At 37.6% G+C, this 23,576-nt stretch overlaps 1 long non-coding RNA gene across 1 annotated transcript, besides 1 other annotated feature; it reads left to right on the plus strand.

The window, feature by feature from the left end:
• Positions 1-833: 833 nt before the first annotated feature.
• LOC107985669 (uncharacterized) lies at positions 834-18,444 on the plus strand. The gene is made up of 2 exons (XR_001755899.2): positions 834-923; positions 18,358-18,444. It is a non-coding gene; the product is annotated as an uncharacterized LOC107985669 (long non-coding RNA).
• Positions 10,670-10,870: a silencer, noted in NCBI's record as "peak7397 fragment used in MPRA reporter construct". NCBI's record gives its function as "represses an SCP1 promoter by STARR-seq MPRAs in K562 erythroleukemia cells {active_cell/tissue: K562}" and the evidence as "EXISTENCE:reporter gene assay evidence [ECO:0000049][PMID:32103011]".
• Positions 18,445-23,576: the final 5,132 nt, after the last annotated feature.

Consider the following 23,576-nt stretch of genomic DNA (forward strand, 5'->3'; position numbering starts at 1 on the left):
CAGAGTGAGACCCTGTCTCTAAAAACAAAAGCCTTGAGATATGTAATTATTATAGTTATTAAACAGAATTCCATTTTCTCTTTTAGAAACCTATTCCCATGGAATAGCAAATTATAACCAACTCGATGAAAGAGCTGCTAAAATGGGAGAACATATGAAGAAAAAAAACTAGAGAAGTTGGTGGACAAAGGAATAGCTATGTGGCTAACAACACTTCTTTACTTGTGAACAAAACTAATGATTTTTTCAATATTTCTGGTACTCCAAGCAATGTTAACTATGCTCCAACCACCTACACTGTTGACAACACTTCAAGCACTTAGTCTGTGGACAATGCTCCAAGCACCTACACTGTTGACAATACTTTGAGCACCTACACTGTGAACAATACTTTGAATGCTTACACTGTGGACAATACTCCAGGTACCTACACTGCGAGCAATGTAAACATTTACACTGACAATACTCCCAGTACTTACACTGCTCACAGCCCTCCAAGCACTAACATTGCTGACAAAGCTCCCAGCAGTTCTTCCATTGACCATGTCCCTAGCATTTCCATCTCAGACACTACTCTGAGCCCTGCTACCTCTGATGGCATTCTGAACCCTTCTAGCACTAATCATACTCCCAAGACTGCCACCTCTGACAGAACTCCCAGATCATCTGATAGTACTCGCAGACCATCAAGTTTTGACAGTACGCCAAGCTCTTCCGCTTCTCACAGTGCTCCCAACACTTCCATCTCTGAAAATGCTCCCAACACTTCTGACATTGGTAATGCTCTCAGTACTCCAACACTGCCAGTACTGAGATTGAGACTAGACATAGAAAGAAACAGAGTGCTATAGGAGGTGAAGAAATCAAGCAGAAACCAAGTGGAAAACAAAACAAGTGACCATCACCAAATAATGCAGATAAAGGTAAGATCAAGAGTTTGGTTTTGTTGCCAATGAATAAACATCTTAATGGTTAGGAATCTCAGTCCATTTTTAATATTAATGTGTCATTTTCTACTTTCGTTTCCTCTTTTCTTCTTTGTACCCTTAAGTTTAAATTCTTTTCTAAATTAATACTTTTATTAACAAATCATAAATATATACATTTATAAGGTACCATGTGATGCTTTGACATATGCATAAAATGCAGAACGCTTAAATCAAGCTAATTAACATATTTGTCACCACACTTACCTATCTTTTTATGGTAAGACATTTGAAATTTGCCAATTTAATTATTTCAAAATATGCAATACAATATTATTGACTATAATCACCCTGGTGTACAGATCTTAAACCCTGTTCTTGCTGTCCATCTGAAACGTTGCACCCTTTCATCAACAACTCCCCATTCACTCCCTCCCTATCCTCCAGCTTCTGGTAACCATCATTCTACTCTCTACTTCTATGAGTTCAGCTTTATTAAATTCCGCATATGAGTGAGATCATGCAGCATTTGTCTTTCTGTGCCTGGCTTATGTTACTTAGCATAATGTCCTAGAGATTCATCCATTTTGAGGCAAATCACAGAATTTCCCCCCGTTAAGGGCAAAATAATATATGAAACCATGATTATGCTGCCTTTTATTATTTTTCTCTTTTTAAAAAAATTTTAGATTCAAGGGGTACGAGTTCAAGTTTGTTAGATGGATATATTGCATAATGATGAGGTTTGGGCTTCCAGTGTACTCGTCACCCAAATAGTGAAGATTATACACAATAGGTAATTTTTAAATAATTACAACTTTTATTTTAGATTCAGAGAGTCCATGTGCAGATTTGTTACATGGGTATATTGTGTGATGCTGAGGTTTGGGTTTCGAATGATCCCGTTACCCAGATATTGAGCATAGTACCCAACGAGTACTTTTTCAACCCTTGCCCCCTCGCTTCTTCTCCCCTCTAGTAGTCCCCAGTGCCTATTGTTCCTATCTCCTACTCCCTGTGCCACCCAACTGTGTGAGACCCTCCAACAGGGGTTGTCAGACACCCTATACAAGAGCAATCCTACTGGCATCAGGTTGGTGCCCCTCAAGGTCAGATATCCCAGAAGAAAAGCAGGCACCCATCTTTGCTGTTTTCCAGCCTTCTTAAGTGACATCTCCAGGCACGGGAGTGAATCAGATGAATAGGGCCTGAAGTGAACACCTAGCAAACTGCAGCAGCCCTATGGAAGAGGAACCTGACTACTGAAGAAAAAAAAAACAAACAAGCAGAAAGCAACAACAACAGCATCAACAACAACAACACACGGGCCCACACAAAACCCCATCCAAGGGTCCGCAGCCTCAAAAACCAAAACTAGACAATCTCATGAAGATGAGAAAGCATCAACGAAAAAATGCTGAAAACCTAAAAGTCCAGAGTGCCTTTTCTCCAAATGATGGCAACATCTCTCCATCAAGGGCACAGAACTGGACAGGGGATCAGATTGACAAATTGACAGAGGTAGGTTTCAGAAGATGGATAATAAAAAACTATGATGAGTTAAAGGAGCATGTTTTAACCCAATGCAAAGAAACTACGAACCTTGATAAAAGGTTGGAGGAATTGCTAATTAAAATAACCAGTTTAGAGAGGAACATAAATGACCAGATGGAGCTGAAAAACACAGCACCACAGCACAAGGACTTCTTGAAGGATACACAAGTATCAACAGCCAAAATGACCAAGCAGAAGAAAGTATATCAGAGTTTGAAGACCATCTTACTGAAATAAGACATGGAGACAAGAGTAGAGAAAAAAAGAATGAAAAGGAATGAACAAAGCCTTCAAGAAATATGGGAATTCATAAAACGCCCAAACCTACGATTGATTGAAGACATGAAAAGCCCTTCATAAAAAAGCAATGAATCCAGGAGCTGGTTTTTTAAAAAGATTAACAAAATAGAACATTAGCCAGACTAATAAAGAAGAAAAGAGAGAATAATCAAATCGACACAATAAAAAATGATAAAGGGGATGTCACCACTGATCCCACAGAAATATAAACTACCACCAGAGAATACTATAAACACCTCTACACAAATAAACTAGAAAATCTAGAAGAAATGGATAAATTCCTGGACACATACACCCTCCCAAGACTAAACCAGGAAAAATTCGAATGCATGAATAGACCAATAACAAGTTCTGAAATTGAGGCAGTAATTAATAGCCTACCAACAAAAAGGGCTCAGGATCAGATAGATTCACAGCCAAATTCTACCAGAGGTATGAAGAGGACCTGGTACCATTCCTTCTGAAACTATTCCAAACAATAGAAAAAGAGGGAATCCTCCCTAACTCATTTTACAAGGCCATCATCATCCTGATACCAAAGCCTGGCAGAGCCACAACAAAAAAGAAAATTTCAGGCCAATATCCCTGATGAACACTGATGCAAAAGTCTTAAATAAAATACTTGCAAACCGAATCCAGTAGCAAATCAAAAAGCTTAGCCACCATGATCAACTCAGCTTTATCCCTGGGATGCAAAGCTGTTTCAACATACACAAATCAATAAATGTAAACCGTTACAAAAACAGAAACAATGACAAAACCCACATGATTATCTCAACAGATGCAGAAAAGGTCTTTGATAAAATTCAACACCTTCTTATGCTAAAAATTCTCAAGAAACTAGGTATTGATGGAAAGTATCTCAAAATAATAAGAGCTATTTATGACAAACCCACAGCCAATATCACACTGGATGGGCGAAAGCTGGGAGCATTCCCTTTGAAAACCAGCACAAGACAAGGATGCCCTCTCTCACCACTCCTATTCAACATAGTACTGGAAGTTCTGGCCAGGGCAATTGGCAAGAGAAAGAAATAAAGTGCATTGAACTAGAACGAGGGGAAGTCAAATTGTCTCTTGTTTGCAGATGACATGATTGTATATTTAGGAAACCCATCGTCTCAGCCCAAAATCTCCTTAAGCTGATAAGCAACTTCAGCAAAGTCTCAGGATACAAAATCAATGTGCAAAAATCACAAGCATTCCTATACACCAATAATAGATAAACAGAGTGCCAAATCATGAGTGAACTGCCATTCACAATTGCTACTAAGAGAATAAAATACCTAGGAGTACAACTTATAAGGGAAGTAAAGGAACTCTTCAAGGAGTACTACAAACCACTGCTCAAGGAAATAAGAGTGGACACAAACAAATGGAAAAACATTCCAAGCTCATGGATAGGAAGAATCAGTATTATGATAATGGCCATACTGCCAAAGTAATTTATAGATTCAATGCTATCCTCATCAAGCTACCATTGACTTTCTTCACAGAGTTAGAAAAAACTACTTTAAAGTTCATATGGAACCAACAAAGAGCCTGTATAGCCAAGACAATCCTAAGCAAAAAGAATAAAGCTGGAGGCATCACACTACCTGACTTCAAACTATACTACAAGGCTACAGTAACCAAAATGGCATGGTACTGGTACCAAAACAGATATATAGACCAATGGAACAGAACAGAGCCCTCAGAAATAACGCCATACATCTACAACCATCTGATCTTTGACAGACCTGACAAAAACAAGCAATGGGGAAAGGATTCCCTATTTAATAAATTTTGTTGGGAAAACTGGCTACCCATGTGTAGAAAAATGAAACTGGATCTCTTCCTTACAACTTATACAAAAATTAACTCAAGATGGATTAGTGACTTAAATGTAAGACCTAAAACCATAAAAACCCCAGAAGAAAACCTAGGCAGTACCATTCAGGGCATATACATGGGCAAAGACTTCATCATTAAAACATCTAAAGCAATAGCAACAAAAGCCAAAATTGACAAATGGGATCTAATGACAATAAAGAACTTCTGTACAGTGAAAGAAACCATCATCAGCAGGAATAGGCAACATACATAATGGGAGAAATTTTTTGCAATCTATTCATCTGACAAAGAGCTAATATCCAGCATCTACAAAGAACTTAAACAAATTTGCAAGAAAAAAATCAAACAACCCCATCAGAAAGTGGGCGAAGGATATGAACAGACACTTCTCAAAACAAGACATTTATGCAGCCAACAGACACATGAAAAAATGCTCATTATCACTGGTCATCAGAGAAATGCAAATCAAAACCACAATGAGATACCATCTCACACCAGTTAGAATGGCAATCATTAAAAAGTGAGGAAACAGCAGATACTGGAGAGGATGTGGAGAAATAGGAATGCTTTTTATTTTTTTGTTATATAAATATAGATGTATTTTATTTTATTTTTTTATTATACTTTAAGTTTTAGGGTACATGTGCACAACGTGCAGGTTAGTTACATATGTATATGTGTGCCATGTTGGTGTGCTGCACCCATTAACTCGTCATGAGACAGAGTCTCGCTCTGTCATCCAGGCTGGAGTGCAGTGGCATGATCTTGGCTCACTGCAAACTCTGCCTCCCGGGTTCACGCCATTCTCCTGCTTCAGCCTCCCGAGTAGCTGGGACTACAGGCACCTGCCACCATGCCTGGCTAATTTTTTGTATTATTTAGTAGTAGGGTTTCACCATGTTAGCCAGGATGGTCTTGATCTCCTGACCTCATGATCCGCCCGCCTTGGCCTCCCAAAGTGGTGGAGTTACAGGCATGAGCCACCACGCCCGGCCAATAGGAATGCTTTTACATTGTTGGTGGGAGTCTAAATTAGTTCAACCATTGTGGAAGACAGTGTGGTGATTCCTCAAGGATCTTGAGCCAGAAATACCATTTGACCCAGCAGTCCCATTACTGGGTATATACCCAAAGGATTATAAATCATTCTACTATAAAGACACGTGCACACGTATGTTTATTGCAGCACTACTCACAATAGCAAAGACTTCAAACCAACCCAAATTTCCATCAATGATAGACTGGATAAAGAAAATGTGGCACACATGCACCATGGAATACTATGCAGCCATAATAAAGGATGAGTTCAAGCCCTTGCAAGGGACATTGATGAAGCTGAAAACCATCATTTTCAGCAAACTAACACAGGAACAGAAAACCAAACAGAGTATGTTCTCACTCATAAGTGGGAGTTGAAAAATGAGAACACGTGGACACAGGGAGGGGAACATCACACACTGGAGCTGGTTGGGGGTGGGGGGCTATGGGAGGGAGAACATTAGGAGAAATACCTAATGTAGATGATGGGTTCATGGGTGCAGCAAACCACTATGGTACGTGTATACTTATATAACAAACCTGCATGTTCTGCACATGTATCCCAGAACTTAATGTATAATAATAATAATAAAAAAACCTCCAAACTATAAAAACCTTAGAAGAAAATCTAGGCAATACTATTCAGGACATAGGCACAGGCAAATATTTTATGACAAAAACCTCAAAAGCATGACAACAAAAGCCAAAATTTACAAAGGGATCTAATTAAGTTAAAGAGCTTTTGCACAGCAAAGGAAACTATCATCAGAGTGAACAGACAACCTAGCCAATGTGAGAAAATTTTTGTAATCTATGCATCTGACAAAGGTCTAATATCCAGAATCTATTAGGAACTTAAACATATTTACAAGAAAAAACTCCGTTAAAAGTGGGCAAAGGACATGAACAGACACTTCTCTAAAGAGGACATTCATGTGGCTAACAAACATATGAAAAAAAGCTTAATATCACTGATCATTAGAGCAATGCAAATCAAAACCACATTGAGATATCATCTCATGCCAGTCAGAATGGCGATTATTAAAAAGTCAAGAAACAACAGATGCTGCTAGGCTGTGGAGAAATAGGAATGCTTTTACACTGTTGGTGGGAATGTAAATTAGTTCAACCATTTTGGAAGACAGTGTGGTGAGTCCTCAAAGACCTAGAAGCAGAAATACCATTTGACCCAGCAATCCCATTACCATGTATATACCCAAAGAAATATAAATTATTCTATTATAAAGATACATGCATGCATATGTTAATTGCAGCATTATTCACAATAGCAAAGACATGGAATCAACCCAAATGCCCATGAATGATAGACTGGATAAAGAAAATGTGGCACATATACACCATGGAATACTATGCAGCCATAAAAAGGACTGAGATTATGTCCTTTGCAGGGACATGGATGGAGCTGAGGGTTATTATTCTTAGCAAACTAACACAGGAACAGAAAACCATACACCCTGTGTTCTCACTTACAAGTGGGAGCTGACAAATGAGAAAGCATGGACACAGGGAGGGGAACAACACGCACTGGGGCCTGTCAGGGGGTTGGGGGGAGGGAGAGCATCAGGATAAATAGCTAATGCCTGCGGTGCTTAATACCTAGGTGATGGGTTGATGGGTACAGCAAACCACCATGGCAAACGTTTACCTGTGTAACAAACCTGTACGTCCTGCACATGTATCCCAGAACTTAAAATAAAATTTTAAAATGCACAATTAAATTGTTGTTTAATTGTGTATGTGACTATAGTTATCCTGTTGTGCTAGCAGACAGCAGGTCTTCATCCCTTCTAACTATTTTTTTGTGCACATTATGATCCTCACCTTTCCCCCACCCTAACTACCATTTCCCATCTCTGATAACCATCCACCTACTCTCTATCTCCATGAGTTTAATTTTTTTATTTTCTTATCCCATAAATAAATCAAAATATGCCATATTTGTTTTTCTGTCTTTGGCTTGTTTCACTTAACATAGTGACCTCTTGTTCCATCTATGTCATTGCAAATGATAAGATCTCATTTTTTTTATGGCTTAATAGTACTTTGCTGTGTATAAGTACCACATTTTATTTATCCATTCATCTGTTTATGGACAATTAGGTTGCTTCCAAATCTTGCCTGTTGTGAATAGTGCTTCAGTAAACATGGGAGTGTAGACGCATCTTTGATATACTGATTTTTTTTTCTTTTGGGTATATACTCAGCAGTGGGATTACTGGAACATATGATAACTTTATTTTCAGATTTTTTTGGAACCTCCAAACTGTTCTCCATAGCGGTTGTACAAATTTACATTTCCACCAACAGTGTAAAAGGGTTTTATTTTTTCCCTCCGCATCCTCACCAGCATTTGTTATTGCCTGTCTTTTGTATATAAGCAATTTTAACTGGGCTGAGATACTATCTCATTGTACTTTTGATTTGCATTTTTCTGATGACCAATGATGTTTAGCACCTTTTCATATACCTGTTTGCAATTTATATGTTTTCTTTTGAAGAAATGTTTATTCAGATCTTTTGCCCATTTTTTGATCAGATTATTAGATTATTTCCTATAGAGTTGATAAGAAATAATTTGATATTCAGGTTATTAATCCCCTTTAATCCCTTGTCAGATGGGTAGTTTGCTAGTATTTTCTCCCATTGTGTGGGTTGTCTCTTCAGTTTGTTGATTGCATCCTTTGCTATTCAGAAGCTTTTTAAATTGTTGTGATCGCATTTGCCCATTTTTGCTTTGGTTGCCTGTGTTTGTGGGGGTATTGCTCAAGAAATTTTTGCTCAGACTGATGTCATGGAGAGTCCCCCCAATGTTTTCTTGTAGCAGTTTTATAGTTTGAAGTCTTAAACTTAAGTCTTTAATCCATTTTGATTTTTTTTAGTATGGTGAGAGATAGGAGTCCAGCTTCATTCTTCTGCATATGGATATCTAGTTTTCCCAGAACCATTTATTGAAGAGACTGTCTTTTCCTCAGTGTATATTTTTGCCACCTTCATAAAAAGTGAGTTTCTGTAGGTGAGTGGATTTGTTTCTGGGTTCTCTTTTCTGTTCTATTGGTCTGTGTCTCTGTTTTTATGCTAATACCATGCTGTTTTGGTGACTATAGCTCTGCAGTATAATTTGAAGTCAGGTAATGTAGTTCCTCCAGTTTTGTTATTTTTTCTTAGGATAACTTTGGCTATTCTAAGTCTTTTGTGGTTCTATATAAATTTCAGGATTTTTTTTCTATGTCTGTGAAGAATGTCTTTGGTATTTTGATAGGGATTGCACTGAATCTGTAGATTGCTTTTGGTAATGTAGACATTTTAACAATATTATTTTTTTGAATCAATGAAAATAGAATATCTGTTCACTTTTTGGTGTCCTCTTTAATTTCTTTCATCAGTGTTTTATAATTTTTATTATGGGGAATCATTCAGTTTAAGTTATTACTAGATATTTAATTTTATTTGTAGTCATTGCAAATGGGATTATTTTTTCACATTGTTCACTGTGGACATATAGCAATGCTATTGGTTTTTGTATGCTGATTTTGTACCTGCAACTTTACTGAATTATTAATAGTTTATTAGTTCTAATAGTTTTTTGGTGGAGTCTTTAGATGTTACCAAACATAAGATTATATTATCTGCAAACAAGAATAATTTGACTTCTTCTTTTCCACTTTGGATGTCCTTTATTTATTTATTTTGTCTGAATGTTCTAGCTAGGACTTCCACTACTATGTTGAATAACAGTGGTAAAAGTGGGCATCCTTGTTCTGTTGCAGATATTAGAGGCAAGACTTTCAGTTTTTCCCCATTCAGTATGATACTAGCTATAGGTATGTCATACATGAATTTTATTATGTTGAGGTATGTTCTCTGTCCAGTATTTTTGAGAGGATCTTTTATATTATCAAGGGATGTCGAATATATCAAAACCTTTTTCAGCATCAGTTGAAATAAATGGTTTTTGTTCTTCATTCTATTGATAAGACATACAACATTGCTTGATTTGCATATGTTGAACTATCCTTGTATCCCTAGGATAAATTCCACTTGGTCATAATGAATGATCTTTCTAATGTATTGTTGAATTTGGTTTGCTCATACTTTATTGAGGATTTTGCATCAATATTCATCACAAATATTGGCCTTCAGTTTTCTTTATTTGACGTGTCTTTGGTATTAAGGTCAGGGTAATTCTGGCCTCCTACAATGAGTTTGAAAGCATTTGCTTCTCTTCTATTTTACAGAATAGTTTCAGTACGATTGGTATTAGTTCTTGTCATTACATAGTGACCTTCTTTGTCTCTTCTTATAGTCTTTTTCTTGAAATCTATTTTTCCTGATATAAGTATAGCTACTCCTGCTCTTTTTTTTTGTTTCCATTGGCATGGAATATAGTTTTCTATTCTTTTATTTGTGGTCTCTATATATTTTATAGATGAAGTATATTTCTTGTAGGCAACAGATCAATAGGTCTCGTGTTTTTATCCATTCAGCCACTCTTTGTCTTTTGATTGGAGAGTTTAGTCCCTTTACATTTAATATTATTATTAAGTAAGCATTTACTCCTGCAATTTCACCATATGTTTTCTGGTTGTTTTGTGTTCTTTTCTTTCTTCTTTCTTTTCTTTCTGTTTTCCTTTTAGTGAAGGCAATTTTCTCTGGTGATATGATTTATTTTCTTGTTATTTTGCATTTGTTCTATGTTTCTTGATTTGTGGTTACCGTGAGGCTCACAAATATTATCTTATTATTTTAAGCTGACAACAGTTTAACACTTTTTCTTCAGGGAAGCTTTGAAAAAAAAGCCCTCAAACCCCCAAAATGAAACAAAACAAAACAAAACTTAGCACTGTTTGTATAAGCAAACAAACAGCCAAAAATAAAACTAATGATGACTTTATGCCGGGTCCATCTCACAGACCTTGGCCAAGCTACGAATGAAAGGAGTACTCAGACACAGGTATACAGTGACAAAGTGGCTAGGGAACTGCTGAAGAGTGAGCAGTCCCAATAAGCAGGAGCTCTTTGCTTTTATTCAGTACAGGCATAATGCCAAAAGCCTGGAGCCAACACAATCTGTGGGTAATTAACATTATCGCTCCCCCTTACAGGGAGCAGTCTCGCACACTGATGGTCAAAGGTCAGTTCCCAGACAAGATAAGTAAACAAGGCTATTTAGATAAACTCCTCTACATTTCCTTGCACCTACTTCTCGCCCTCTGCCTCAGGGTAAGAGAACAGTTGCCTTCAGCTTATTCTCCCAAAAAGCTTTGCAGAACCTTCTAACCTTTCAAGAGGCCTGCTTCTTTCCCTATAGCTTCTTCCAGCACTCTAACCGATTCCCCACATCTCCCCCCCTCCTTTTTTTCATCAGGTCTTGTTGATTGAAGAGTACAGATGTGTGCAGCAACAGGTTTGTCAGGTGTAGCAGTTACAGCTTATTTTCTGGCTTTGCATCTTAAAATTAGTAGATAACATGAGACAAACATGAATATAATCAGCATTAGTTTTTTTCCAATTAAGGAGTGATATGTAATGTTACTTGGCACCTCAGTCCAATGTGTGCCCTTACTAAGGAGCCCCACTGGGGGTATGTCAATCCCTCATAGCCAAGTAGTTACCTTATTAGAGGCTAGGAAGGGGGTGTTCACTCAGGAACTCAGCATAAGGAAAGCAGATCTAGAAGATGGGCCTAATAGAGTAGCAGGTACTGGTAGCAGGCAAAGTGAGATAATTAAAAAAGGTTAATACCCTATGAGGGTTGCAATGTAAAACAGAAAGCATAGCAAGGAACAAATTATCTGCAGTGAATGGTGTCTGTGTCTAGAGCAGGATTCACTTAGCCTCCTGAGTTGTCTTCAGCATAATGTCTGGGGCCTTTGTTGTCCGAGGAAGCCACATCATCTGGAGCTGCAGGTTCTGCAGGGTCATTTCCTTCATTTCTGGTATCGGGTTGGGTCTTAGCCACACTATGGTAAGGTTTGATGCATGGTACTGGAATCCAAAGAGGACCTGAGGGGGTGTGAACACAAACATATCCTCTTCCCCACATTAGCAAATCATTTGGGCCACACCATTCATTACTATTTACATCACTCTATAGCACTGAAGGTTTTATATCTTGAGTGATTTTTGCAAAGTGCTTTTCTATGGCTGATTGAAATTTATCATCTAAATTTAAAAAATTAAGGGTAAATAAGTCTTGTGCCAATAGTGTTGCAGGGTCCTTACTCACAGTCCCCCTTTTTTGTTTTCTGAGCATATTTTTAAGGGTGGAGTGGACACATTTTACTATGGCCTGTCCTTGGGGGTTATACAGGATGCCTGTGGAATGTTGGATGTTCCACGTGTGACAAAATTGGTGAAATTGTGAGCTGGCATAAGCCAAATCATTAACAGTTTTAATTTTTGTGGGCTGCCCCATAAATGCAAATGTTAAGAGAAGATGTTTAATGACATATTGGGTGGACTCTCCAGGAAGAGCATGGGTGCTAATTAGGTGGGAATAGGTATCAGTGAATACATGTACATATCTTAGTTTTCCAAATTCAGGGATGTGCGTAACATGTTTGCCATAACTGATTAGGTTCTAGTCCTCTAGGGTTAACACCTGTTGAAGGAGGGGACGTGCCTGTGAGCTGGCAATCTGGGCATTGGAAAATAATTTGTTTAGCTAGTCCTTGGGTAAGTTGAAATTGTTTAGATAAATTTCTCCAGTTTTGGTGGAAGAATTGATGTGATTGGGTGGCTTGGTCAAGCAGTGATATCATAACCTGCAGATCTGCTTGATCATTGCCATAAGCCAGTGGGCCAGGCAGTGAGCTGTGGGCCCAAATGTGTGTAATAAAAATAGGATGTGTACGTTGATCTAGCAATTGCTGAAGTCAAAGAAAAAGTGCACACAGGGTGGGCTCAAGAGTGGACTTAATGAGGGCTGTTTCTAGGTTCTGCAATAAATAAACGGGGTAAGGAGAGTCACTAACAATATTGATGGGCTGAGCAGAAAAGTTTTCTAGGGCCAATATTAGGACTCCAACCTCAGCTCTTTGAGTACTAGTAAATCCAGATCAAGTGAGGGAGTTATGTGGTTCCCACCAGATAGCTGCTTTTCTATTTTTCCCAGAGCCATCAGTAAAAAGTGTTAAAGCATTAGGTATGGGAGAGTGTGCTACCTTTGTAGGCATAACTACAGGAGTACGACGTAAGAACTGGAGTAGTTTGTCAGTGGGAAGGGCATGTTCTACAAGGACCACATAATCAGAGTGCTATTTGCAGCTCTAGAGATAGGAGCAGGACTGCTTCGAATTGTTTTTTACTTAAGGGACTTCTTATGATATCAGAGTCATAACCTAGCAATTGATTGCATCATCTGTGGCCTGTATAGATGACTTTACTAACTAGCTGGACATAGGGAGATTGTGTTTTAGTCCTGGTATGAGAGCAAAAAACCCATTCTAGGAAGCATAGCCCTGGGGCCATCTGTCCTATTAATCCTGTTGGGGAATGTTTATTAGGAAAAACAAACAATTGGACCGAATATCATGGGTCTATGCGATCTAGTTGCCTCTGAGGAATAGCTTGCTCTATTTCCTCAATTACCCTTTTTGCAGCAGGGGTTAAACACCTGAGGGACTTCAGGGCCGCATTGCCCTTTAGGATACAAAACAGGTTTTGTAATCTGTTAGTAGTTATGCCCAAGGTGGGGTGAAGCCTGTTAATATTGCCCAGTAATTTTTGATAATCATTTAAAGTGTGTAAGTTGTTAGTATTTAATTTAACCTTCTGAGGTCTCACTGACTGAGTAGTTAGTATGTATCCAAGATATTTCCAAGGAGAGCACATCTGTACTTTTTCAGGTGCTATGATTAAACCTCTTAAGTGTGTATTATTTTTGACAGAGGCATATATATTTAAAAGTATTGGCTCTGTTGTGGCTGCCAGTAATATATCATCCATAAAATGGATAATCTTGCAATTAGGAAATTCCTTTCTACTGGGGAGCAAAGCTTGATTTACATGATACTGACACATGGTAGGACTATTTAGCATTCCTCAGCAAGTACTTTCCGATGAAATTGGCAAGCTGGCCTTTCATTATTGATAACTAGTATTGTAAATGCAAATTTTTCTCTGTCCTGTTTTGCAAGGGGAATAGTATAAAAGCAGTCTTTTAAGTCAATAATGACCATAGGCCAACCTCAAGGAATCACCACGGGGGAAGGGAGGCCCTGTTGAAGGGGTCCCGTAGGTTGCAAATTAGCATTGATAGCACATAAGTCATGCAAAAGTCTCCATTTACCAGACTTTTTGGGAATGACGAAAATGGACAAATTCCAAGGGACGTTTGATGGTTCTATATGGCCGGCTTTTAATTGTTCCCTAATTCATGGGCTCTTTGTAATTTCTCTCCCTTTAAAGCCCACTGTTCTACTCAAATAGGATTTTGAGGGAGCCATGTTAGGGGTAGTGGAGGAATTGCAACAGTGGCCATTATCAGAAAGGGGTCTGCAGAGTGACCCCCCGTTGGGCTAATAAGTCCCATACCCAAAGATTAACAGCGATGGGCATGATTAGAGGTTGTATGACTGCTTTCCTTTCCTCTGAATCACTAGATGTTAGGGGGCACGTGCTCTGCTTGGCTGTGTGTACTTCCCCAGTGCCGACGATTTTTTGTTTCTGAGTGACCCAAGGCCAAGTTTCTGGCCAGTTTTGATCACTAATGGTCGAAATATCTGCCCCCGTATCCAATAAGCCAGTAAAATTTGCTATGGCCTCAATTAAACCTTTCCTAAATTGGCTAGCAGCTCCATTTTCTCCTTTTCTTATTTCCTTATAAGTGTTAAAAGTAATAGGCTTCTGTACCCAATTGCCTTCTTGATCTTGCATCATGCGACAAGCCAGGTGCTCCCCTTCTAACGCCGCTTGCCTAAGACAAGGTCCCATGACTGTAGTGTATCCCTTGTCTTTTTTCCAATTTATTGGAGGAGGGGGCTCAGGAAAAATCTGTTTCCTCTTTGGTATCTTTACCCAGTAATGGCAGGGCTGAAGGAGGAGGAGGAGGCAGTAAGGTAGGTGATGGTTCCTCCTCTCTTCCCTTTTTAGGCTTTTCTGCATAGAGTGGGGCCAAAGCAGCCCTAAGGCCCATAATGTTAAATATGTTACTGGGACCTGTTGCCCTTGTGCATGATGTTGTTTAAGATTTCTCCCCACTTGTTCCCAGAGCTCTAGGTCTAGCCTGCCTTCTTCCAGGAACCATGGGTTATAGGAAACAACAGTTTGCATTAGGTCCCTTAATTAAGCCTGCGAGACTGAGACTCCACTAGCTTTAAGTAGCTGTTTCAATACTTTTGTATACTGTTTCTGTTGAGCTGATAACTGTTGTCCCATGATGAAACCCTAGCTTGAAAATTCCCTCTAGCTTGGAAATCCCGAGTGGGCACCAATGACTTACTGACTATGCAGTCTATTCACCTTCATTTTTGAGGGTTCCGTCACGATCTATTGCAGCATCCCTTACATGAATACCACCTGCCAAGTCCATCCTGCAGACCCTGGCCAAGTGACGGATGAAAGGAGTACTCAGACACAAGTATGAAGTGAAAAAGCAGCTAGGGGATTGCTGAAGAGTGAGCAGTCCCGATAAGCTGGATTTCTTTGCTTTTATTCAATACAAACATAATGCTGAAAGCCTGGAGCCAACAGAACCTGTGGGTAATTAACATTATTGCTTCTTACAGGGGAGCAATATATTCCTTTGGCTATACACCCAACAATGGTCCTGCTGGGTCAAATGGTAATTCTGTTTTAAGTTCTTCTGAGAAATCACTAACCTGCTTTCCACAATGGCTAAACTAGTTTACATTCCCACCAGCAGTGTATAAGCATTCTTTTTTCTCCACAACTTCACTGGCATCTGTTATTTTTTGACATTTTAATAATAGCCATTCTGACTGGAGGGGGGTGGTATCTCATTGTCATTTTGATTTGAATTTTTCTAATGATTAGTGATGTTGAGCATTTATTCATATGCTCATCGACTGCATGAATACCTTGTTTTGAAAACTGTCTTTCCATGTCCTTTGCTCACTTTTTAATCATGTTGTTTGCTTTTCACTTGTAAATTTGTTAAAGTTCTTGATAGATTCTGGATATTAGTCCTTTAATGGATGCACAGTATGTGAACATTTTCTCCATTCTCTAGCTTGTCTGTTTATTCTGTTGATAGTTTCTTTTATTGTGCAGAAGCTCTTTAGTTTAATTAGGTCCCATTTGTCAAGGTGCATTTTTGTTGCAAATACTTTTGGTGTCTTTTTCATAAAGTCTTTGCTAGGTCTTATGTCAAAAATGGTATTTCCTAGGTTATCTTCCAGGGTATTTCTAGTTTTTGGTTTTAGATTTAAGTTTTTAATCTATCTTGAGTTAATTTTATATATGGTATAAAACAGGGGTCCAGTTTCAGTCTTCTGCATATGGCTAATCAATTATCTCATCACCATTTATTGAATAGGGAATCCTTTGTCCATTGCTTATTTTTGTAGATTTTGTCAAAGATCAGATGGTAGCAGGTGTGTGGCATTATCTGGGCTATCTCTTCTGTCACATTGGTCTATGTGTCTGTTTTTGTACCAGTACCATGCTGTTTTTGTTACTGTAGCATTGTAGAATAGTTTAAAGTTGTATAAGGTGATACTTCAAGCTTCGTTCTTTCTGCTTAGGAAAGTCTTGGGTATTTGGGCTCTTTTTTGGTTCTGTATGAATTTTAGAATACTTATTTTTAGTTCTGTGAAGAATGACATTGGTACTTTGATAGGAATAGCATTGAATCTGTAAATTGCTTTTGGCCGTTTGGCCCTTTTAACATATTTATTCTACCTATCCATGAACGTGGAATGTTTATCCATCTGTTTGTGTCATCACTGATTTCACTGAGAAGTGTTTTGTAATTCTCATTGTAGAGTTTTATAATTAGTCTATTTCTAGGTATTTTATTCTTTTTTTGGCTATTGTAAATAGAATTGCATTTATATTTGCCTCTCAGCTTTGATGTTGTTGGTGTATAGGAATGATACTGCTTTTGTACATTAATTTTGTATTCTGAACATTTGCTAAAGTGGCTTATCAGATCAAGGAGCTTATTATCAGAAACCATGGGGTTTTCTAGGTATTGGATCATATCACCTGCAAACAGAAATAGTTTGACTTCCTCTCTTCCTATTTGGATGTCTTTTATTTTTTTTTCTCTTGCTTGATTGTTCTGGCTTGGACTTCCAGTACTATGTTGAATAGGAGTGGTGACAGAGGGCATCCTTGTCTTGTTCCAGTTTTCACGGGGAATGCTTCTGGCTTTTCCCTATTCAGTATGATGTTGGCTGTGGGTTTGTCATATATGTCCCTTATTATTTTGATGTATGTTTTCTCAATGCCTAGTTTGTTGAGGGGAAAACAGCAGTTGTATATATGCTCAAGGAGCTAAAAGAAAACGGATAAGGATCAAAAAGAAATCAGGAAAGTGATATATTCACAAAAGGAGAATATCTTCAAAGATATCCAATTATAAAAAGAAAGCAAACAATTTCTGAATCTGAAAAATACTACAATTGAATTGAAAAATTCCCTGGAGAGGTCTAACTGCAGACTCAAGCAGACAGAATAAAGAGTCATTGAACTTGAAGGCAAGACATTTACAATTATTGAATATGCAGAGCAAAAAGAAAAAAGAATGAATAGTAAACAGAGCCCAAGAAACTTATGGGACACCATAAAGCCAACCTATATAGGCATTGCCGTTTTCTCTGAAGGAGAAGAGTGACAGAAATAGGAAGAGTAATTATTTGAAGTAATGGCTGAAAATTTCTCAAATTTGAGTAAATACATGGATCTAGAAATCCAAGAATTTCTATGCACTCCAACTAAGATAAACCCAGAGAGGCCTACACTGAAACACTTGCAAACAAACTGCCAAAGGCCAAAGACAGGGAATTTTAAAAGCAGTAAGAGAAACAGGTTGTTATATACAAGCGATCTTTCATATAATTATCAGCAAATTTTTCAGCAAAAATCTTGGAGGCCAGAAGACAGTGGGATGATATATTTAAAGTGCTGATAGAAATAAAAACAAACCTGTCAACTGAGAATTCTTTATATGGCAAAACAGTTCTTAAAAATGAGAAAGAAATTAATAAATTCTCTGTTAAGTAAAAGGTGAGGAGATGAATAGCCACTAGACCTGCCCTATCAGAACTGCTAAAAGGAATTCTTTAAGTTGAAATAAAGTGATACACAGAAGGACATTATATATTGATAAAAGTGTCAATTCACCAAGATGATTTTATGATTATAAACATATATGTACCAAATATTAGCACTCCCAAATATATGAAACAAACATGGGCAGAATCGATGGAAGAAGTAAATAACTCTACAGTAACAGTGGTGGATTTTAATGTCCTACTTTCAATAGTGGATAGAACAACCAGATAGAACATCAATAAGTAAATATAGGACTCAAACACTATAAACAAATTGGATTTAACAGACACATTCAGAACACTCTACCCAACAATAACAGAATATACATTTTTTCTGAAATGCACATGGGACATTCTGCAGGATAGACCATATGTTTCAGTACAAAACAAGTCTTAACAAGTTAAAAAAATACTAAAATTACACAAATTACCTCTTCCAATCACAGTAGAATGGAACTACATATCAATAGTAGAAGGAAACCTGGAAAATCTACAGAAATATGGAAATTAACACATGTTAAAAAATCAAGATTGAAAGAAGAAATCATAAGGTAAGTGAGAAAATATCTTTAAGAAAAATGTAAATGTCATCTGCAAACAAGGATAGTTTAAGTTTCTCTCTTCCAATGTGGATGCCCTTTATCTTTTTCTCTTGCCTGATTTCTCTGGTCAGGACTTCCAATACTATGTTGAATAGAAGTGGTGAAAGAGGGCATCCTTTTCTTTTGCTGGTTTCCAAGGAGAATGCTTACAGCTTTGACCCATTCATTATAATGTTGGCTGTGGGTTTGTGATAGAAGGCTCTTATTATTTTGAGTTATGTTTCTTCAATACCTAGTTTAATTGAGTTTTTAACATGAAGACATGTTGAATTTTGTTGAAAGCCTTTTCTGCATCTATTGATAAATCATGTGGTTTTTGTCTTTAGTTCTGCTTATGTCAAAATTGCATTTGTTGATTTGCATATGTTGAACCATCCTTACATTGTGGGGATGAACCCTACTTGATTGTGGTGGGGTAGCTTTTTGATGTGATGCTGGATTTGGTTTGCAAGTATTTTGTTGTGGATTTTTGCATCAATGTTCATCAAAGATATTGGCCTGAAGTTTTCTTTTGTTCTGTTATGTCTCTGTGAGGCTTTGTTACCAGAATGATGCTGGCCTCATAGAATGAGTAGGGGGGGAGTTTCTCCTCCCCCTCAACTTTGCAGAATAGTTTTAGCAGTAATGCTACTAACTCTTGCTTGTACATCTGGTAGAATTGACTGTGAGTTCATCTGGTCTTGTAATTGTTTTGGTTGGTAGGTAATTTATTACCGATTCAATTTTTGGAGCTCATGATTGCTCTGTTAAGGGAATCTATTTCTTCCTGGTTCAGTCTTGGAAGAATGTATGTGTCCAGGAATTTATCTATCTCTTCTAGGTTTTCTACTTTGTGTGCAAATTGGTGTTTGTAGTTTCTGACAGTTATATTTATTTTTGTGAGGTCAGTGGTAACACCTCATTTATCGTTTCTAATTGTGTTTATTTGGATTTTCTCTTGTTTCTTCATTAGTCTAGCTAGTGGCCCATTATATTAATTTTTTCAAAGAATCAGCTCCTGGATTTGTTGATCTTTTGAATGGTTTCTCCAGTCTCAATTTCCTTCATTCAGTCCTGATTTTGATTATACTTTTCTTCTGTTAGCTACAGGGTTGATTTGTTCTTGCTTCTCTAATTCTTTTTTTTTTCTTTTGAGATGGAGTCTCACTCTGTTGCCAGGCTGGAGTGCAGTGTCACGGTCTCAGCTCACTGCAACCTCTGCCTCCTGGGTTCAAGTGATTCTCCTGCCTCAGCCTCCTGAATAGCTGGGACTACAGGCATGTGCTACCATGCCCAGCTAATTTTTCTATTTTTAGTAGAGATGGGGTTTCACCATGTTAGCCAGGATGGTCTCGATCTCTTGACCTCATGATCCACCTGCCTCAACCTCTCAAAGTGCTGGGATTACAGGCATGAGCCACCACGCCTGGCCTTCTTTCACTTGTGATATTAGGTTGTAAATTTGAGATCTTTCTAACTTATTAATGGGGACATTTAGTGCTATAAATTTCCCTCTTAACACTGCCTTAGCTGTGTCCCAGAGATTCTGGTATGTTGTATCTTTGTTCCCATTAGTTTAAAAGAAGTCCTTATAGCAAGAGAATCCCATAGTCTTGGTCCAAAAGCTCCTTCAGTTGATAAACAACTTCAGCAAAATTTCAGAATACACAATGTACAAAAATTAGTAGTATTCCTATACGCCAATAGCCAAGCTGAAAGCCAAATCAGGAAGACAGTCCCATTGAGAATTGCAAAAAAAAAAAAAAAAAAAAAAAAAAAAAATACTAGAAGTATAGGTAACTGGAGAGGTGAAAAATCTCTACAACAAGAATTACAAAACATTGCTCAAAGAAGTTAAAGAAAACACAAACAAATAAAAATTGCATGCTCATGGATAGGAAGAATCAATACTATTAAAATGCCCATACTGCCAAAAGCAATTTACAGATTCAATGATATTTCTATCAAACTACCAATGACATTCTTCCTAGAACTAGAAAAAAACTATTCTAAAATTCATATGGAACCAAAAAAGAGCCCAAATATCCAAGGCAATCCTAAGCAACAAACCAAAAAACCAAAAAACCAAAAAACAAAAACAAAAACAAACAAAAAAAAGCAGCTGGGGGCATCACACTACCTGACTTCAAACTATACTATAGGGCTAGAGAAACTGAAACAACAAGGTACTGGTACAAAAACAGACATGTAAACAAATCAAATAGACCAGAAACAAGGCTGCGTATCTATAACCGTCTTATCTTCAACAAAGCTGACAAAAGCAAGCAATGGGGAAAGAACTCGCTATTCAATAAATGGTGCTGGGATAACTGGCTAGTCATATGCAGAAGATTGAAGTTAGACTCCTTCCTTGTGCCATACACAAAAATCAACACAAGATAAATTAAAGACTTAAATGTAAAACCTGAAAATATAAAAACCCTGGAAGAAAATCTAGGCAATAATATTGTGGAAATAGGAATGAGCAAAGGTTGCATGAAAAAGACACCAAAAGCAATTCCAACAAAAGTAAAAATTGGCAAATGAGATCTAATTAAACTTAAGAGCTTTGCTTCTGCACAGCAAAATAAACTATCAACAGATTAAACAGGCAACCTACAGAATAATATGTGCAAGCTATGCATCTGACAAATGTCTAATATTCAGCATCTATAAGAAATTTAAACATTTACAAGAGAAAAACAACCCCATTAAAAAGTGGTCAAAAACATGAACAGACAATTTTCAAAAAAGACATATCGCGTGTCCAAAAAGCACATGAAAAAAACCTCAATATCACTGATTATTAGAGAAACGAAAATCACAGATAACATGATACCATCCTACAGAAGTCAGAATGGCTATTAATAAAAGATAAAAGAACAGATGCTGGTGAGGTTGTGGAAAAAAGAGGACACTTATACACTGTTGGTGGAAGTGTAAATTAGTTCAACTGTTGTTCAAAGCAGTATGGCAATTCTGCAAAGAGCTAAAAACAGAACTACCATTTGACCCAGCAATCCCATACTGGTATATACCCAGAGGAATATAAATAATTCTACCATAAATACACATGCACAAGAATGTTCATTGCAGCACTATTCACAATAGCCAAGACATGGAATCAACCTAAATGTCCATTAATGACAGATTGTATAAATACTAGTGGCACATATACACCATGGAATACTATGCAGCCATAAAAATGAATGACACCATATCCTTTACAGGAACATGGATGGAGCTGGAGGTTATTATTCTTAGCAAACTAACACTAATGCAGGAACAGAATACCAAATACCATGTGTTCTCACTTATAAGTGGGGACTAAATGATGAGAACTCATGGGTGCAGAGAGGGAAACAACAGACACTGGGGTCTACTTGAGGATGGAGAGTAGCAGGAGGGAGAGGAGCAGAAACAATAACTATTGGGTAGTGGGCTTAATCCTGGGTGCTAATCTGCACAACAAACCTCTATGTCACGAGTTTACCTATATAACAAATCTCCACATATACCCCTGAACCCAGAATAAAAGTTAAAAAAGTGAAAAAAGTGAATATGAAAACAGAACATAAGAAATGTTATGGAATTCAGTGAAAGCAGTGCCAAGAAGGGAAATTTATAACTGTAAATATTTATTAATACATTAAACGAGAAGATCTCAAATAAACAACCTAACTTTACATCTCATGGAACTAAAACAAGAAAAACAAACAACTCAAAAGTAGCAGAAGGAAGAATATACTAAAGATTAGATAAGAGATAAAATACAGAGGCTGAGTATGGTGGCTCACACCTGTAAATCCAGCACTTTGGGAGGCTGAGGCAGGAGGATTGCTTGAGCTCTGGAACTCGAGACCGGCCTAAGCAACATAGTGGGACTCTGTCTCTATGAAAAACAAAAATTAGGTGGGTGTGATGGCCACATACCTGTAGTTCCAGCTACTCTGGAGACTAGATGGAAGAATCACTCAAGCCTAGGAGGTCAAGGCTGCAGTGAGCCACAGTCATGCCATGGCACCCCAGCCTGGGTGACAAAGCAAGACCCTGTCTCAAAAAAAAACAAACAAAGAAAAAACAGAGTAGAAAAACAATAGAGAAAAATCAACAAAATCAAGAGGCGGTTCTTTGAAAAGACAATAAAATTGATAAACCTTTAGCAAAATTGATGAAGAAAAAAAGAAAGGACTAAAATAAATAAAATCAGAAATAAAATTGGGGACATTATTACCAATTTTATAGGAATAAAAAGTATTATAAGACAGTAGTATGAACAATTATTTGCAAACAAAATGAATACATTAGATGAAATGGACAAATTCCTAAAAAGAACAGCCTACAAAGACTAAATCATAATGAAATAGAAAATCTGGATCGAACTGTAACTGGTAGGAATATGGAATCAGTAATCAAAAACCTCTCTACAACAAAAAGTTTCATTTTTAAAATATTTATTCATTTACTCATAGAGATGTGGTCTCATTATGCTGCCCAGGTTGGTCTTAAACTCCTGGGCTCAAGCGATCTTCCCATCTTGGCCTCCCAAAGTGTTGGGATTACAGGCGTGAGCCATTCTGCCTGGCCAACAGTTTTAGACAAGATGGTTGCACTGGTGAATTCTACTAAACATATAAAGGAAAACCAATCCTCAAACTCTTCAAAAAATTTAAGAGTAAAAAACACTTTTTTAAAATTATACTTTAAGTTCTGGGGTACATGTGCAGAACGTGCAGTTTTGTTATATAGGTATACACACACCATGGTGGTTTGCTGCACCCATCAACCCGTCATCTACATTAGGTATTTATCCTAATGTTATCCTTCCCCTAGCCCCCCACCCCCAACAGGTCTCAGTGTATGATGTTCCCCTCCCTGTATCCATGTGTTCTCATTGTTCAACTCCCAATTATGAGTGAGAATATGCAGTGTTTGGTTTTCTGTTCTTGTGATAGTTTGCTGAGAATGATGGTTTCCAGCTTCATCTGTGTCCCTGCAAAGGACATGAACTCATCCTTTTTTATGGCTGCATAGTATTCCATGGTGTATATGTGCCACATTTTCTTTATTCAGTCTATTATTGA

This window comes from Homo sapiens, chromosome X, assembly GCF_000001405.40.
Source record: "Homo sapiens chromosome X, GRCh38.p14 Primary Assembly".
NCBI lineage: Eukaryota > Metazoa > Chordata > Mammalia > Primates > Hominidae > Homo > Homo sapiens.